The 20,160-nt window shown below is 41.6% G+C and overlaps 1 long non-coding RNA gene across 2 annotated transcripts in view; it reads left to right on the top strand.

Moving 5' to 3' along the window:
• The window catches only part of LOC105370777 (uncharacterized), a 556,255-nt gene extending 543,380 nt beyond the window's left edge, over nt 1-12,875 (top strand). Inside the window, exons 1-3 of one of the 2 annotated variants that reach the window (XR_932130.3) lie at nt 9,298-9,352; nt 9,523-9,711; nt 11,959-12,875. This is a non-coding gene — a long non-coding RNA (uncharacterized LOC105370777). Of the gene's footprint in view, nt 9,370-9,496; nt 9,712-11,958 lie in introns of those variants that run through there. The other variant, XR_001751487.2, reaches the window with a different exon arrangement.
• The last annotated feature ends 7,285 nt before the right edge of the window (nt 12,876-20,160 follow it).

The following is a 20,160-nucleotide window of genomic DNA, read 5'->3' as shown; positions in this document are numbered from 1 at the left end:
GAGCAGAGTTGAGCAAATAGACAAATGTTTATCTTTTGCAGGAATGTGCACTTGGCTCTGGGGATTGTAGCTGTCCATCAGCATCCACACTGGATGAAACTGCTGAAGGAAGGGGCTCCGAAAACACCCACTTTCCTCAGCCTCTGCGGCCTTAACTCCATGTGCCAGCAGGTCAGGCTAACAGGCTGTGGTGCTAAAGGCATCAGGCAGACATATCTACTGGCCCATTAAGATTCTGTACCTAAACACTACCCACCCCGCCCACCCTGCCCCAGTGATGGCCCTGCCTTTCCTGCCAGGCCTGCTCTCCTCCCCAAGAAAGGGAAAATGGTTAGCAACTTTCAGAAACTAAAACAAACACAAAAGTTTGCCAACATTAAACTCTGCTTCACAGCTAAATGGACCATAAACTTTCAGCACCTTGAACAAAACTTCAATTCAATCCCTTCTACAGGTGCTGTGGGCACAAAGACTGCACAGTGTATTTTTGCCCTGGGAAAGAGTCTCAAATTATTATTTTTGTAAAAAAAAAAAAAAAAAGAAAAGAAAAAGTTGCCTGGAAAAAAGTTTCATTTTGTGCTTAGAAAAACAAGCCAAGAGGCAACGCACACCCCCTTTCTCTCCATTCTCACTTCCCTGCACTCTCACGAGAAGATTCCAGCCCACCTTGAAACCCAGCATGGATACTAGAGAAGACATCTTTTTCTCCAGTTTTCAAATAAGCCTCCAGGATGAGGCACACGCAGACCTTTCCTGCTAGCCTGTAATTCACCACCTTCTAAAAGGACCAGGTCATGATACAAATGAAAGCAATGAAAAGCACAGGCCTGCATGCCCAAGGTCTGAGTCTTGCTCCCTGTCATCTTCGGTGTGACCTTAGCGTGTCACTTGACCTCTCAGGTCTCACATTTAGCATCCAGACAACTCAGGACTTAAGTTCTCTTACAGCTCTAAAATTCTGTATGGGAATGACATCAATAAAGTAATATAATTTTTTGTTCAAACCAGCAAAGATGTGCAAATACAAGGGGTAGTGAATAGCAATTATGCCTGGCATCCAGCAGAACTGTGCTGGGAACCAAGACCTGTGGTTCTGAGGGCTGTCCAGAGAGCGCCACGGCCATTCGCGTGCTAAACCTTTGCAACCTGAGCCCAGTAACAGGAACACAGAACATTCTCCAGGAGTCTGGGGCCTTGCCTCCATTCTCCAGCTGCTCCTCTCCCATTGTTTTCCCTCTCTACACGACTGCCCTTTCTTGGGCTCCCCATGCTCTAAGTTAAGTTGGCAGCATGGCAGAGATTGAGAGCACAGATTCTGGTCTCAGACTGCATGGGCTCAAATTACAGCTTCATAATTTACCACATGATCTTGGGCAAGTTACTTAAACTCAAAGATAGACTTTTCAAACATTTTTTCACTGCAATCCACAGTAAGAAATATATTTAACATAAATAATACTCTACGTGTGTGCACACACACACACATACTCACATAAATTAAAAGATTAATAAAAAATAATTATTTTTGATATTTTGTGAGCACCATTTGATTGGTCCTATTCTATGTAAATTTCTATAAATGCTAGTCATAATCCAGCAAATTGATTTCATGGTCTACTAATGGTTTCAGACCCACAATTTGAAAAACCCTGTTCTAAGCTTTAGTTTTCTCATCTGTAAAATGAAGATAATATAAATAATATCCTCTCTGTGGAGTTGTTATGAAGATGACTAAAATGTTCATATAAAAGCGTTTGGCCACAGTGCAGGGTGGCTCACGCCTGTAATCCCAGCACTTCGGGAAGTCAAGGCAGGCAGATCACATGAGGCCAGTAGCTCAAGACCAGCCTAGTCAACATGTTGAAACCCTGTCTCTACAAAAAGTACAAAAATTAGCCCAGCATGGTGGTGCACACCTGTAGTCCCAGCTACTCAGGAGGCTGAGGCAGGAGAATCACTTGAACCCGGGAGGTGGAGGTTGCAGTGAGCCAAGATGGCACCACTGCATTCCATCCTGGGCAACAGAGTGAGACTCTGTGTCAAAAACAAACAAACAAACAAACAAAAGGTTTAGCTTGGAAGGTAATAAGTGCTCAGTGAATATTAGTGTTATTATTACTCAAGGAAGGGCATCAGTGTGAAATAAATCTTATACTTCAAGTCCAAAAGGGAAGCTCCCAGTAATCATGCCCTTCATGAACCTGTACATGAATCAAATGGCTTTTCCCATTGGGCATGCATGCCATGCCATCAAGCAAGTCAGAATTTAAGCTTCTGTGCAGGTCAGTGAAGACATGGTGCTTGCCACTGCAGCAGCAGCCATCTTGCACACATGAGGTGCCACACCTGAGGAAGGAAGAACAAAGCAATGGAAAGACCAGTGTTTTGGTATTACTGAGTTGCTGAACCAATCCTGGAACTGGATCTCAGGCTTTTTATTTAAATCAATAAAATCTCCTGATGTTTAAAAGGCAATTTTATGCAAACCAGCTCATTACCTCCTACAGTGTCCCTTCCCTCACCAACAGGAAGTGGCTCCACATTTCAATTGCCTTTTTGCCCTTGAGAATCAGCATTCCCTAAACCACCACTATTAAATTTGGGACTCTGAAACCACAGAAATACCCTACAGTAGGAAATCCCCCTTGGGTGCCTAGACTCTCTATCACCTTTGCAAAGCTTTTAAGTAAAAAAGGAAAACCTCAGGCTTCCCACTTAGCCATGGAAAGTGGTACCACCTTCAGAGGAAAGATGGGGGATTCAGGAGCACCACCTCCAATTTTAGGAGGTGCCCCTGATTTCCTCAAATACTGACAGGTAATTTAACCTAAACAATGGAGAGGAGCCCTGCTTCAAGATGCAGTGCTAGGCTCACCCTGACCAGCACTTGGTAGATAAGAAAGAGAAAACAACTTACAAATTCTTCAGTGATGCTTGGCTCAGTACTTAGCTCGCTGGCTGGCTGACTTTGCAACTACTTCTAGTTAAGGGTTCCAAAGGACTGGAAGGTAAATAACCAGCAAGGTGTCGTAACACTGAGACAGAGTGAAATATTATTTCCACCCTCTCGTGACCTCGGTGGCCATTTTCCAGCTCTAGGGCCAGTCTGCACATGACGATGAGTGGTATCTGATGGCTGGTCCTGGCATGAAGTGTGAGGGAATGCCAGTTTAGGACTTGAACCTTCCATCTCCCACTGATTCCAGTCAGAGTAATCCAAACCTAGTCTGTCTTTTCTTTCCCTTATGCTGCAAACTTTCCCCTGTTTTAGTCAAAATACACCAGCTTAGTAATTCTGGCTGCCACAGACTGAATTTTGAGCCTCACCAGTTTCCAAATAATTAAGACAGAGAAAGTGAGTTAAATAAAATATGGCCAGATTAAATAAACAATTCGGTACTTTAGGAGAAGAATTCAGGCTGGGTCTAAGATAGGCGCCTAGCGCAGGGCTCTGCAGCAGACATAAGGAAGTCTTAAGTTGGTTTTCAATAGGTGTACCTAAGGGTGCATTTGATAACAACAACAAAAAGAGAGATGGAAGCAAATATTTAACAAGCACCTATTATCTATCAGGCACTACATATACATTCTCTCATTTTCTTCTTACAAAGTACACGTATCCTAGCAATTATTTCCATTTTAAAAAACTGAAAATGAAAAATTACTTGCTCAAGATCATAAAGCAAGTAAACATTAGAATTAGGATTTAACCCTAGGCCCTTCTTGTGCAGGAGTCATGCTCTTTCAAGCACACTGTGCTGTCCCCCGGGAAGAGTGAGGGTTATCAGGAAAAGCAGTGGAATGGCAGAAAAGAAGAAGGGGAAGGATTTTAAAACAGGGAAAAGAAAGGACAGAAATACATAAAAATAAGAAATGGGAACAGGAAGGACTGCAAAGATTAAGGAAGAACGGTTGGTGAGTACCTTGGCTATTTAGTGGAATTTGGTGATTCAGAACTGGGAATGGACAGTAAGCCCCTTCAAATACCCTGGGGAAGCCAAGATTGTCATGGAGCTGTTCTTTTCTCTATCTCAAGTACAAATGTCTCAAAGAACTCTAAAAGCTACTTAAAGCAAGAGCAAGGAACTCAAACTAAGTTCTTATTGAGTGGTGGCCAAAAAACAAGCTGGACGAGTTTCCAGATGATACTGCCGGGATGATTCTTTTAGCTGACAGTTACCAAAAAGGAAGGCTTTCAGGACATGTCAATAGCAGATCTTACGCCTTCTCTGACCTCGGCCTTCCTCAGAGTCTTTTAGCTGTAATGAGCAAATATTAGCATAAGAGACAGGGACCAAATATTTGTTTAGTGTCTGTGTTGATTATTAAGCTGTTGCCTGTAAACTCCACACTCACCCTTCATTCTCAGCTTTGTGTTGCTGGGGCTGGGCCTCTGTAATCACATTTCAGCTTTGCCAGAGGGATTTCTCTTAGGCTGCCAGTAGTGGGGCACTAGAGGGAGTCTGGAGGCAGTGGGGAAGAAGGGATTTGTTCCTTCTGTTTTTTTGCTGGTCCTGTCAGTATCATCCCAGCAGCCCTTAGCTCCAGTTTGCAGTTATTTTCCTCACTACAAGAACACACTCCCTCAGTGATAGCGTCTGTCAACCAGAACCTCCTCCCCAGATATTGAGTCCCTGTTTTGAGGGTCCCTGCTCTGAGTCTCCAACGCACCTGCCTCCACCAGGCAGCACCCCTCCCTCCTGGTCCAGTTTCCAGCTCTGCAGGGCCCTCCTCCAAGCTTCCAGATCCCAGGCACCTGACGCATCCCTTTTGTTCTCTCAGCCCTAGGGGTAGCGATTGCTTCCTGCAGTTGCTAGCTCCGTGACCCTCCAGTGGTCCTCCTCCTCACTTTCAGTGCTTCAATTCCTTATATTAAGTATTCTTTATTAGGAAAACTGATGGGTGTCTGTTTTCTGGACTGGCCTTTACCTGATTTGTTATCACTTCTGTCTACGTCCAGGACAATATTGAGCAATATTCTGAGGCTATACTGTGTTAAAAGGAAACTTCAGACAAATTAAATTTAACAGAGTTTAACTGAGCAAGAAAAAAAAATTCATAAATTGGGCAGCCTCCAGAATCACAACAGATTCAGAGAGAGTCCAGGGATGCCTTATGGTCAGAACAAATTTATAGACAACAAAAGGGAAGTGACGTGCAGAAATCAGAAGTGAGGTACAGAAACAGCTGGACTGATTACAGCTCAACATTTGCCTTTTTTGAACAAATCTGAACACTCAGCAGTGTATGAGTGGTTGACGTATGGCTGCTGTGATTGGCCAGACCTCAGCTATTGTTACAGGCACATACTCTTAAGTCAGGTTTTCAATCCTATCTGACTATAAAGTTAGGTTACAGTTTGTCCTCATGGACTCAAATTTAGAAGTATGGCGTCCTTCTCAGGCCATATTTAGTTCAGTTTAACAAGTGCATATGGCTTCTGACAAAGGTGTGGCCCCTTTAGGACTCCAAAGACGCTGTCACTTACATGGTATTCAGGGAGGACACAGAGGATCTGTGAGCAGCCTGCAGCCAAGCTTTGAGATCATATTGAGATTTTTTTGTAATATATGAGGAGTGTTCTGGCTCCTTTTATTACTTTCTTCATAGCAAAAATTGGGGGTCCAAGTTGTCGTTAAATTGAAACTCTCTCACTTACCCTGAAAAAGATTTGACTGTGAGCATAACATTGTTACTTCATTCAAGACATGGAAGCAAAAGGGTTAATTAGTGCTGCTCACAAAATAGTTCTACTTTTTCTTCTTCCAATTATATGATTGGATAACCCTTCCCTCCCTTGAAGTCAGGGTTGCCATGTGGCTTACTTTGGTCAATAGAATATGATTGAGAGCAATACTGTGGTACATCCATACAGTGGAATATTATCCAGTGATAAAAAAAAAAAAAAAAAGGAAAGAAAGAAAGCCACAAAAAGACATGGAAGAGAGCCAAGCGCAGCGGCTCATGCATGTAATCCCAGCACTTTGCGAGGCTGAAGTGAGTGGATCACTTGAGCTCAGGAGTTCAAGACCAGCCTGAGCAACATGGCAAAACCCCATCTCTAAAAAAAAATACAAAAAAATTTTAGCTCAGTGTGACTCTGTGTGCCTGTAGTCCCAGCTACTGGGGAGGCTAAGGTGGAAGGATCACTTGAGCTCAGGAGGTCAAGGCTGCACAAAGCTGCAATGAGCAGAAATCATGCTTGGGCAACAGAGAGAGACCCTGTCTCAAAATATGTTAATGAGAGAGAACTCTGGGCAAGGGGGTGGAGGGGCAGAGGAGGAGTGTGGGGAAGGGGAAGGAGTGCATACCTGGAAACTCTACTTTCTGCATAATTTTTCTATAAACCTGAAATTGCTCTAAAAAGTAAAGTCTATTTAAAAATAATAAATAAGAAAGAAATATGAATATCACTTGTGTCACTTTTGTGTCAAAGCATTAACGGCCAGCACATGATTTGCCTTGCCACTCCCTTCCTCTTGGTCTGTAGTCCAATGCTCTACCTCTGAGCTATACCCCTTCCTTGCCACTCCCTTCCTAAAGATAAGCCTCCCTCATTGGATTAGAATTCTCCGGAGAGACAGAGACAATAAGATATATATAGAGAGAGATGGAGAGATAGAGATAGGAATTATCACAGGATTATGGAGGCTGAGAAGTCCCGCAATAAGCCATCTATAAGCTAGAGAACCAGGGAAGCCAGTAATATGAGTCAGTCTAAGCCTTAAGGCTTCAAAACCAGAGATGTCAATAGCATAACTTTCACCACAAGACTGAAGGTCACAAGGCTGAATGCCTGAGAAACTGGGGGGTCACTAATCCAAGCCCCAGATTCGAAAGGCTGGATAGAGAACCTGGGGTTCTGATGTCCAAGGGCAGGAGAATAAGGGTGTCCCAGCTCCAGAAGGGAGTGAGCAAATTCACCTTTCCTCTGGCTTTTTGTTCTAGTAGGACCTGAGCCATATGGACGATGCCTGTCCACATTGGGTGAGGCCACATCTTCCTCACTCAGTCCACTGATTCAAATGCCAATCTCTTTTGGAAACACCCTTATAGACATGCCCAGAAGTAATGCTTTATCAGCTATCTGGGTACCACTTAATCTGGTCAAGTTGACACCTAAAATTAATTATCATCACAACTCATTCTGGTTCTGTTAGTGAGAATAATCAAGAATGCATCCCTAGCTCGTCACTTCCAATGAGCCAGTCTTCAGTGGACATGCACCCTGAGTGGAAAAAAAGTAAAAACTGTTTCTATTGTTGTTTTAAACAACTTAGATTCAGAGATTATTTGTTATTGCAGGATAACCTAGCTTATCCTGACTAATACAGAGAGAGGAAGTCCTCCTTTAATCTCCAACAGAAATATTAAACAGCAATCAATCACACAATATTGGTTAAAAAAACAAAGATAATAATCATTGTTATTATTTTCATTATTTCTGGAAATAAATTTAAAACTATTGAAAAAACTTACTTTTAAAATTCTCAACATCACTAATCATCCAGGAAATGCAAATCAAAACCACAATGAGATGTCATCTCACCTCAGTTAAAGTGGCTATTATCAAAAAGACAGAACATAGCAGTTGCTGATGAGGATACAGAGAAGGGGAAGTTCTCCTACACTGTTCATGGGAATGTAGATTAGTATGGAAGTCCATCAGAAAACTAAAAATAGAACTACCATATGATCCAGCAATCCTACTGCTAGGGATGTAACCAAAAGAAAGGCAATCAGCATATAAAAGAGATATCTGCACCTCTTTGTTTATTGCAGCACTATTCACAATAGCCAGATTATAGAATCAACATATGTGCCCATCAACAGATGAATGGACAAAGAAAATGTGGTATATATTCACAATGGAATATTCATTCATAAAAAAATTAAAATCCCATCATTTGAAGCAACATGGATGTAACTGGAGGATATGATGTTAAATGAAATAAGCCATGCACAGAAAGACAAATATCACATGTTCTCACTCATATGTGGGAGCTAAAAAGGCTAAACTTATGGAGGTGGGGAGTAGAATGGTGATTACCAGAGGTTGGGAAGTGTTGAAGTCAGAGAGGAAGAGAACTTGGTTAATGGGTACAAAAATACAGTTAGAAAGAAGGAATAAGTTCTAGTGTTCACAGTAGAACAAACATAATTAATAAGAATTTATAGTATATTTCAAAATAGCTGCAAGAAAAGCATTATAATGTTCCCAACACGAAGAAATGGTAACCGTTTCAGGTGATGGCTATCCCAACTACCCTAATTTTATAATTATACATTATAGGTATGTATCAAAAGATCCCATGTACTCCACAAATATGTACAACTATTATGTATCAATAAAGACAGAAAAAACATTATATATAATTACATAATACAGACATAATGAATATGAATCAACTCTTAGTATATATGAGGAAGAAGTGCTTGAAAAATTTCTGTAATTTTAATCATTAAAAACCTAGTCTCCAGAATTAAATTTTATTCACTTAATCAAGTCTTGTTTCAGGAGAGAGAGACAGATATAAAGAAAGGGTATAGCTACTTGAACAAGGGAGGCAGCATCCAAATGACAGCCTGCATGTTGTTTATTCACACAGAGTAACTGCTGGCCAAAATAATATCTCCCGATGTTCATTTAGTGTTGACAGAAATGGTGAGAATATTCAATACTATCAACTTTCAGCCACTGAATGTGCTTATTTTGAGAGCACTGTTCAAAGAAGTGGATTCTAGCTATAAACACTGCTTTTCCCCCCACTTAAATAGTCTATTGAAGAGGAAAATACCCATACACATTAGTAAAATGAGAAATGAGATAAAAATATTGTTTCCTTACTCTAATGCCGACGAAGAATAATGGTATGATTTAAGGGACCTAAGTAAATAGCATATCCCAGTAATATAATCAGTATTGTGAGCCACCTAACTCTCTCATTCAAAGCCAAGGTGTGGAGATTCTTAAGATCAAAGATAAGTGGTCGGAATTTCTTAAGAGGGCCGACCATGTGGGCAAGGGCTTTGTTGTTCAGACTTCGACCCTTCCCCAGAGCCTGAAGATTTTCTTTAGAAAACAAAGTCAATGCCACGACTGGACCTTTCAACACCACACCCAAATGCTGCAACAGATGATATCACTTTCCAGGGTAAACACAAGCAGTGTATTCTGAGGCCACTGGCCCGACTTCCCAGGTTGACTCATCCTGCCTTCCAGCCTTGAAGGGCAATATCCTTACCAACATGTGATCTGAAGGAGCTCTGAACCCTCCAGTGAGACATCAGCCCATCAGACTCACAGAGAACAGCAGGAAGGCCAAAGACTCAAGATTTATCTATCCTTGAAGTGAGCAAAATTCCTTGGTAAAAGATTATAAAATAAAACAATTGTTTTTCTGATAAAATTTAATTTTTTTCAATGTTTTACTATGTTTATATTTTTAAGTCACTTAAAATTGGTAGTTTATTGATGAACTAAATATCTATTAAGTTATTCAGTGATGCTGATTACAACAGGCCTCCGTTATACGAAGGGAAAACATCCCAGACCCCCCAGTGAATGCCTGAAACTGGATTCTACTGAACCCTGAGATGGTACTAAGTGACTAACGGGTGAATAGCGTGTACAGCATGGATACACTAGACAAAGGGAGGATTCGCATCCCGGGCTGGTCAGCAAGAGGTTTCATCACCCCACTCAAAATGGTGAGCAATTTAATACTAATAAATTGATTATTTCCGGAACCTTTCGTTTAATATTTCCCAACTGCAGCTAACCGTGGGTATCTAAAACCACAGAAAGCAAAACCACAAATAAGGGAAGACTACTTGTATTGGGAAGGTGCTGAGGTAGCTCAGTACTGGTGGCTGCCCGGGTAAAAGAATGTGACATGCAATACTCTTCAATCAAATAGGAATGTGTGGTTGCCATGGTGCCACCACATGGAGGATTGTCTCCCATCTGGGGACCTGGGTTTGCAAATGCTCAGTAAGAGTAAGACTTCCTGTTATTCCTTACAATGGATAAACTTGGACTGGGTCTTCAGAGTGGATGTTTCTCTCTCACCCGAGCAAACACAGACGAGCTCTCTGTTGCCGTGTGAGCCCCTAAAAGCCTTCCTAATAACAAACTGAAGTCAGCTAAGTTCAGGTAGCTAAAATGGTGCATTTGTTATAAAAGCCGTGGCCACAGAATGCAAACTCTTAGAGCCACCCAGCCCAGCTATTTCCTTCAGAATCCAACACTGAGCCAAGCGGTTTTTATTTTATCTTCTCAAACTAGGTAGCACTCCCTCATAGCAGACTCCTGGATAACCTGCAGGTAGCTGGGTGCACCCCTACTTTTGTGGGTGGTTTCCAGACCAGATTTAAAACCAATTACCAGGTGTTATGTAACTGAGGGCACCAGAAAGAGCCTGGCATGAGTGGGGAGGGAGGCATTGAGGAAAAGAGTCACAAGCAAAAGAGGAGAAAACCATGAGAGAAAACAAACAGGAGCCACAGCCAGTGCCAAACTGAAGGAAGGACTGTTTTCCAACAGGATTTACAGACACGAAAAGAAAAAGGAGACGGTTTCTTCACTCCTGTACTTGGTCAGCAAGCATTTCTTAGAGCATGTCATAGATGTAAGATAATTAAATAAATATCTCTGCCTCTAGTGTTTCACAGTCTGGTGGCAGATGGAGGTGTGGCAGTAGTGAGAAGGTCCCATTTTTCTGAAACCCTTTGCTTTTTTGAGACTGATAATTACTCTCTAGTGTAGATGCTGTAGGGATGTGAAAAACATCACACTGATTTGCACCTGGAGGCATCAGGAAGGCTGTAGGTAAGGTAAGCCTTCAAGGATGAATTGATGTGCATCAGACAGAAAAGGGACCAGATTTGGAAAGTCACAGGGGTCTGTGGGAACCTGTGCCGTGTGGGCCCGTAGGGGTGTATACCGTGGGAGCCCACTGGAGAGGGGCAGGATAGAGCCTGAGAAATAAGCAGGGACTCGAGCACATCAGACTGCAAACACCATGCCGGGGACAAACCAGTGTGAGCTGAGAAGCAACATGAGATCTGGGATACAGAACACTCCTTCTGACTGGCCCTGTGGACAGGCACCCTTTAGGGAGCCACTTCATGGGTCTAGATCAAAAAATAAATGAAATGTTTAAATGATGAGGGCCTGAACCAAGGTAGTGGTTATAGGGTTGGACATAAGGAGACAGGTCAGGCGATATTAATAAGTTAAAGTTGGTCACACCTTACTGGCTGATTGAATGTGGGAGTGAGGGAAAAGGGAGAGTCCTGTGTGGTTCATTTCAGCCTTGAACGGTGAGTGGGGGTGCCATTCACTGGGATGGAGAACATAGGGAAATTGTGTTTGGGGAGACTGATCATGAGCTGAGCGTATCAGGGTTGAGGTGCTGTTGGCACCTTCAGGAAGAGATTTCAAGGTCTGGACTAGGGATTTCGATCTGAAAGACATTTGAATCTAAGGCCCTACAAGCAGATGAAATAGAGCAGAATGCCCAGGAAGCAGTAGAAAGCATGCAGAACTTCAGATATTTGAATACTAGTGGACAATGCTTTTCTCAGTCATTGAAAGAAACTCGATCAGTGTCTCAGAGACAGTTTAGACAAAATGGCCAAGGGGTTAAACAAAGAATTCTACACTGAGTTTTTGGATTCTGTCTTTCTGGCTCTGAGCATAAGGAACAGGTCAATGGTCAGTATGCATCTTGAAATCACATATACCCAAAATTAGATCATCAGGTACATTTTTGAAACAATAGTGTCGTTCACTTAGCCCCCTTGCTGTTGCAGGAATGCCTCTGGGCCAGATTCCCTTTGCCATGTGACTTCTCTCTTCTGGCCATTTGCTGTGGCAGGCATCTCATGGCTCCAGAAGCCTCTACCTTCTCTGTCTTCCAAATCCCCTATGTAAGAGAATTGATTCCTTTTCAGGCAGGACCGTATGAACCTGAATCCAGAGAAACGGCTCATCAGTCTCCAATCCTCTGATTTTCTAAACCAGGACTACATTATATTAAAACCAGAAAAAGCAATACCTCTTTTCACAGAATGGACTTTCTGGTGGAAATGGGAGGAACCAAAAGAAGGCTGACTTCTTCATTTTGACACCCTGCCCTGACTGCAGAACGTGATTTCCCTAAAAGACTGAATGTTAACCTCAAAGCCTGGTCAACCAACATGCAGGAGAAATCTTGACCAAGGCTCTGAGCATGCTGTGGTCCCAGTGGTGAGGGTGTGATATGCACTGTCTGTTCCTGGAGTCACAGTGCTCATCTTGTGGTAAAGACCTCTTGGAAGAATGTCTTCAAAGGCACATCTCCAGCTGGGAGTCCTTGTTTCCTGATTTTTTTTTTTAAGTTTATGTTATATGAACAAATGAGACTGCTTTCCCGGCAGGAGTAGCCCTCAGACGCCCACTGTGAGCCTACTTTCTGGAAGAAGCCAACTCAGACAGACCACAGTGTGTGCACAGCATACGTGGCTGCTGGCTGTGGATGAGAAAGTATTCCTGATCTGTCAGAATAATGATTTCAGCGTGTTCTCAGCAGGTCCTCAGTGTGATCCCATGAGGATACCCTCAACCCCTTGCATGACATGTTGTACTTGGAGTCCTTCCCCATTTCAATTTCAGCATCAGTGGGAGGGAAATAGCAAAACAGCATTCCTTCATGTAGATAACCAGTAGGCAGCAGGCTACTCCTGGTTCGTAACATAACTCCACCAGTGTATTCTGGCAGCCGGGCTTACTTAAGGGAGAGCACAGACATTCCCTGCTCAAAAACAAAACTGCTAAACGTGACTCCGGTAGCCTCCATGCTCTCTGCAAGAATAAAATCCTTGAAGAAAAATTGTGATAAGAAGTCTGTCTTTGGAGTCAGCCTGAGCACAATCTTGCATCTCCAGTTACCACCTGGGTGGCTTTATTCACTTAAGAAATACCTGTAGGATACATACTACATGGCAGGCATGCTTCTCAGATGTTAGCTCATCTTGCTAAGCCTCCAGTATCTTCATCTAAACAGTGAGGATAACAGTATGTACCTCCTAGGGCCATCTGAGGAAAAAGTGAGATAGTGTGTATAAAGCTCATAGCACAGGGCTCATAGAGAGGATTTGCAGTTAGTGTTGGCTGTGGCAGGTATTATTCCCTTTACCCCAGCCTATGCCATCCTTGCCACCCCATCAGGAGCTCCTGATGATGCCAGCACCTCTTGCCGAGCCCTCATCTGGGGCAGCGTACACCTTTAACTTTTTATTCCTCTTGGCTTTGATATTCATTGACCTGGAGCTACCCACACCAGGGGGCAGCATAAATAATGGCAGAAGTCACAGTCTCTGCCCTGGCTTCACACCTCCTCTTGGTATCAGCTGTTCACCATGCTCTTCCTACTGACTCTCTGTAGGACCAGCACCAACACCATGTCTTAATCTGATATACATACACACACACACACACACACACACACACACGAGACACTATAAACAGTATATATGCAAAACTATATATATTACTATGTATCTAATAAATGAAACTAAAATATATAATCTGATATTATAGTCTGGTGAATCTTACATATTTATGTATAATTATAAATTGTATATATATATCAGATCATACAGTATAAAATATATGCCATGCACTATATATGTAAACATAGACATAAAATCTATTTATATTCTTTCCTGACCCAAAGCTGAATAGATTTCTCAGGGATGGGAAGAAGAAAGTGACAGCTTTTTTTGTGATATAAAAACTGATACATTATTTTTTAAGAGAGCAAAACATGTACAAAAATTTAAAAAATGAAACTGAATAATGCATTTTCAAACACAAAAATGTAAAAATATGTCACAAAACAAAGTTAAAAATAAGCCTATAAAAAGCATTAACCATACATCATTTTAATATTGACTGATAATGAATTAATCGTAATCATTTTGGCTGGGCGTGGTGGCACATGCCTGTAATCCCAGCAGAAAGTGATAGCTTTGACATAGCTATATTAATACAAAGGCTTTAGCAGACTTTGGCTCTGCCCAGGAAATCTTTCCCAAATAGTTTCCAGTTCAACTGGGGTTGTATTATACTGTGGAAACAAGAATAGCTGATGGTTTTGAAAACAGCTACTACATTTCCTGATCTACTTCAAATTGTCCCACCCACTGGTCGTGGTACTGAAGTGTGTCTGGATACGAAGGTAGCAATGATGCCTGTGAACCAAAGGGTGGGCCACACTTCACACTAGTCCAGACCAGCCTTCTTCCAAATTTCACCTATCTCCAGAATGGGGCTACTTAACTTCTACTTCAGAGTGCAGGTCTCCCCAAATGCCTGGATGAAATCTTGACCCTAATGAGAAAACTTCAGAGCTCTGGTTCAGAGGTTCTGATGTGAATATCAAATCACATTTACTGTCAATTTTATTCTTTCTATTCACTAGGCAAATATTGATAGCACTCTTGCTATGCACCAGGTGATGTTCTTAGCACTGGATTTTTTACCATAGTTCTAGTTACCTGATCCAAGTATCTGGGACTTATTTCACCAAGACTGAATTCTGCCTTAATATTCTAGCCAAACTCCAGCTCCTTCAAGACTTCTCAATCTTCCCTTTTCATGATGAACCACAGTCCCTGGCTGGGACTCAAGTTGCATCTTTCAGCCCTCTACCACCATCACCAGCTGCACTACAGTGTCCAGTATTTTCCTGTGTGCCCGTGGTCCCCATTCCAAGCTTCCTCCCATGTGCAGGGACACAGGTTACCCATTGCTGGACTGCTCCACATTTAATTACCTAGACAGAGAGCTTGCACATAGAAAGTGTTCTATAAATGTTATTTATTCCATCTAAACTTCCCACTAGCAAAGTAACCACAAAGACAGGAACTTGCCTTAGTTGTTCAGATGTGGCCCTATCATGAGATCTATGGTTAGCCCATAGTAGCCAATGAAAAAGAATGGCTTTTGAGTGAATGAATCACTGAAGATTCATTCTAGCCTTTATTTCAAGAAGATGTGGGAATGTAATCCTTTGCTGTTCAGCAAAAATGCTAAACTAGAACCAGGAACTACAGACTTGGAGTGCCTCTTTTTATTTAAGAGACTCTTGGGAGACACCACCTTATGTACCCCCACAAGCTAGATGTTCTTCCTATTCCAAATAAACTACAAGGATGAATACTGTACCATCTTACTCAAAGCCAAAACAGCCCTGGAAATATGTTTTCCAGTCTAGTTAATCAGAAAAAGGAAGGGTGTACATAGTCATGTGGAGTGTTTCAAGCAGATAATTACTCTTCTATGCATTTTCTCAATGCCAACGTGTACCAAAATGACAGTTATTTCCTTTGCCCAGAAACTCCAGTTCTGAAATATTTCACATAACAGAGCATTCCTCCCCATCTCATCTCTCCCTACCAACTGTCTGAAGTTCTTTGACAATGAGATCTTAGCTGGAGCCTTGCAATGGAAGAGTGCTTGTTCACTGATATATCAATTTGGTTACTTTGAAGACATTTAAATAGAAATTTTGATGTACCAGATATTTCTCTACAGAATTAAGAGAAAGTTGAGAAAAGTTTCAATATGATAGGGAATAATGGAGTAGACTGGTTTTTATAGATAAGCCTAATCCTTCTTCATCCATATGTAATTCCCAGTTCATTACCTTCCCAGGCTCATCAACCTGCGTTCTACCAGTAAATGCATGCACTGAGGAGCTTAACTATCTGTCTGCCTTGGGTATGAATTGGCCACAGATACACGGGAATACGTATGATGTAAAGACAATGCTGAATTACCATGATATTCATATAGCAGACATGTTCACAGGTATTAGTAAGAAGGTAATAAAAAATAGAAGATAGTTTATTATGTTCCAAGAAGGGTGCTAGATAATTTATATATAATAGTCTTATCTCACTTACATTTTAATCATATAAAGGTGGCATTCCTATTTTAGAAATTAGAAATTGAAAAGGGCTCAGAAAAAAAAGTTCCCTGTTTAATATCCCACAGGATTTGAGCTTTAGGATCTTTGCTTTGAAGAAAGGAAATTTGTGATACTAGTAGATTAATTTCTACTTCCACTGTACCCATAAAGGCATGATAGCAAGAGTGAATTGTGCTTTAATTTTTTGTCTTTATGTCTACTCCATAACCAGGTTTATCCCCTTTCCTGCTTTATTTTTCTTCATAGCACTGAGTCAGTTGGGGTTAAACCAGAGAACCAGAACCAATAAAGGATGACATGAAGTTTGCTGCAAGAGATTGGCTTAGGCAATTGTGGCAGCTGCATAAATAAGTCCAAAATCCATAGGTCAGGCCAACCATAAGGGCAGGCTGGAACTCCTGGGCATGGGCTGAATCTGTTGTCTTACACATGAATTTCTCCTCTAAGAGGAGCCTCAGTCCTGCTTTTAAGGCCTTTCAAGCTGACTGAATCAGACTCACTCAGATTCTCCAGGATAATCTCTCTTAAAATCAAGTGATCATGGACTTAAATTACATCTATAAAATACCTTCACAGCAACATCTAGATTTGTGTTGGATTGGATAATTAAAGGCTATAGTCTGTTCAAATTGACACATCAGAAAGACCACCATAACCTGATATATCTTACTCATTTATATTTATTGTTTATCATTTCTCTTCCCACACTAGAATGTAAGCTCTATGAGAAAATCAACTTTTTGGGTTTTGTTTACTGCTGTATTCCTCAGCAGCTAGAACACCATCTGGCATGTGGTAAGCAGCTGATAACTGTGAAATGAATAAAGAATTGAATAAATGAACAGCTTTCTTGCCAGGAAGGGCCTCCCCTCTCCATATTGGGTCAAACACCCAGCACAATTCCCAGAACAGAACAGGTAGTCAGAATTGTTTTCAATTAATTAAAACCAGCTGGTGACCCACATGCTTTCTATAGAATTCCACATCTCAGGAATGGCTGGTGTGGTGGAGACAATGGGCATAGAGGGCCAGTTTTACTCACCTGATATTACCAAGGTGAAGAGGAAAGGCTGTGGGCACCATCAACACCCCTGCTGGGGATTGTGGGAACTTGGGATAGGAAGAGATGCAAACACCATTGGCAGTTGTTTGGAGTGATTTCAGGAACAGTTCAATATAGCATTGGCTGAAAGGAAGTGGGAAAGATCACAGAGTGTGTGCCGCTTCTGCTTCTGTTTCTGGGTGACTGCATAACAGGAAAGTAACTGTCTTGCACAATCAACCCAGATGATCCAGAAACAACGGGAAAAATGTTCATGAGCCCCTGAGGTGAAGCAAGCTTCATTTTCTATGACCCCTGAAGGAAATGGGCATCTGATATAATTGGGTTCTTTCTTTTGGAGGCCCAAGGCTGTGAGACTCCTTTTCCTAACCGCGGTGGGGTATTTTGATTTACAGCTGGGATGATAATTACATGTACCATTCTTTTAACATGGAACATGGTTCCTCCTTTTTACCCTTAAAGAAGTAAAAGTTTTCCTACCAAATCTGTCATTACCAAGTGGTATTTTCTTCTTCCCAATACATGCTTCTTCCCAAGGCCTACCAGTCTGCCAACTCAGCAGACGTATGGAAATGTGGGTGTGGGTGTGCACCCACTCACACACACATACTTATAGGTAATTATAGAAAAGTAACAAGAATAGAGATGAAAACAAGAACAATCAAGGGATAAAATGCTTATTCAATGCATAATGTTTGCTCTGGACTATAAGGAAATTACACTCGGAAAACTGAAATATATGTAGACATGAGGCTATAAATTTGGGGCTCAAAGGGAAAAGCAGGTATAAGATGGGGTCAGTGGACTAAAGAATCAGTGAACAGAAATATATGACCTTTGAGTCAGCCTATAAATTTCCCTCCTCATAAAACTCAATGAAGGAAGTAGAACCAGAGCCAGAACTTCAGGAGGAGATATGGTTAGCACCTAACACAGTAGCCACCAAATAAAAGCATGCTGAAGACGAAGTCACAGAAACACTTGTTAAAACAGATAGAGATAGTCTTCCAAAGGCTAGCACATTCAGATTGAATGGTTTCTAAATGCAGACCAGATGATATTTTTCAAGAAATGTAGGTTTCTCGGCTTAATATCTGAGCTCCCACCATCCGTTAATTCCATAATTCTTTCTCAGACTTCTCTACTGACTGGTATTAGGTTGGTGCAAAAATAATTTTGCCATTAAAAGTGATGGCAAAAACCGCAATTACTTTTACACCCATCTAGTATTTGCAGCAGGCAGAAGCTAAGGATGCTCACCTTGCCCCATCCCTCCCCCAAATGAGTCATGATCATCCAAGATTGCACTCCAAAATCTGGGAAACACTTTAATGAGGCACTGAACTGATTAATAAGGAGTGTTTAGATTTTTCCCATAGATATTTACAACAGAATACTAACTAGGCTGCACCTTGAGACTCAAGGACCAATAGAGGCTGGTTTCTGGACATATCCCAGGAATAGAGTAGCTCTTAAAACTAATGATTCAATTAACTTAAATATGAATTGAGCATAAGGCTATAACTGAAAAATCTGTATTAGTAGAGGATGGCAGCAATATTAATATTTTTTAGAAATCATTCACTTTGGACTTTGCCATGTTTCACAGAGTGTTTGTAGATAATGAAACTCTACACGTCAAAGCAGATTGTGCAGCCAAGCAGCTCTGAAGGGACTTGAATATTTAGGGTAGATTTTATTTATTTACCTATTTCCTACCTTGTTGCTAAAATGATTTAAGAAGTTTCTAAAGATGCATGTAGTGAAATAAGATGAATTTAAAACAACCAAGAAAATAAGAGAAAGGGAAGATAAGGTTAGGCAAATAAGATGGAGCCAGGGATGAGGTTAATATCCAAAAACGAATTCCCTGGACACTGGATGACGTAAGAGGGTAAGAAAGATCTCTTGCTTCTTCCCTTCCACACTCCACTACCTTCTAATTTCTCCATTTAGTTTCCTAAATGCTGTGAATGGATGTCATCATCTCTAAGCTAACCAATTCTCTAAGAGCCATCTCTAAGCTAACCAATTCTCTCATTTCTTTCTTGGGGGAAGGGATAGAAATTAAGTGTTAGCTAAAGGTGAGTGTGGAAGGTAAGGGGGTGGTCTCATACTTCCTCCCTCTCCAGATTGCTCCCACTATGTAGACTCCTTCTTGTAAGCGTTAAGAGGCGAAGTAGATTAATAAGGATGAGTCTATTACAACGCCCAGTCTTCAGCAAAGACAAGACAGAAAACCAGAAATCCATGTGTAGGTAAGGAAAAGTTAGTGATGCTAACACTCAAGGTTTTCAGGGTCTACATAGTAACATTTGTTGATTTCCCTCTTGAGTTCAGGCCAAATGCGAGATGAATACAGGAATCAGTACGATGAAAGCTAAAATAATGAGCTTTATGTCTAGGGTAGCTGAATTTGAGAATGCAGCTTGACCTACAACCAAAATGTAGCTCCAGTGAATCTCCCATAAACAAAATCTACACTTCAAAGCCCAGGTCTCCCCACTGCAAAGGCTCAGTACACCTGGGTGAGCTCCAAATGCATGAGCAGAGCAGTGGTTTCCTGACAACAGGTGGCTCCAGAGAGGACCAAGGAGAAGTGGAGCCACACGTGGTCAGAGCCTTTTCTGTATCTCACCAATCAGATGAGTCTCTCCTCCCAGGGAGGCAGGTGGGAGGGGCTTAATGAATGAGAGCAAGGGAAGAAAGAGCCCACAGTTTTATCTCCCATACTTCTCTATCTTCCATGGGATGGGACATAAGAATTATCTCTGAAGGGCCACCAACTAACACTACCATCTTCAGCTGCATCAAACTTATAACACTGGCCTGCATAGCAAGAGATGGGAAACAAAACTGTACAACGGTTGATTCATTTCTAAAATCTACATCCAAAGCTGCAGGTAACATGCATCTGTGTGGGAACCTAAACAGGTATGTGGGGCAAGACTACTGTTTTCTTCTGTCCCTAAAGGCCTAAGAGTCATGAGAATTTGGCAAATAGCATATTAACATAAGATTCTGTTGTGGTGTCTCTTCCTGGTACAGTCACACCAGGCTGAATGGTATACTGGGTCATCTCTCCACATAAAACCCTTCAATGCCCTTTCTTGTTTT

Source organism: Homo sapiens, chromosome 15 (assembly GCF_000001405.40).
Source record: "Homo sapiens chromosome 15, GRCh38.p14 Primary Assembly".
NCBI classification, from domain to species: domain Eukaryota; kingdom Metazoa; phylum Chordata; class Mammalia; order Primates; family Hominidae; genus Homo; species Homo sapiens.
The sequence above is the reverse complement of the archived record's forward strand: the minus strand, read 5'-3'. Positions and strand labels throughout refer to the sequence as shown.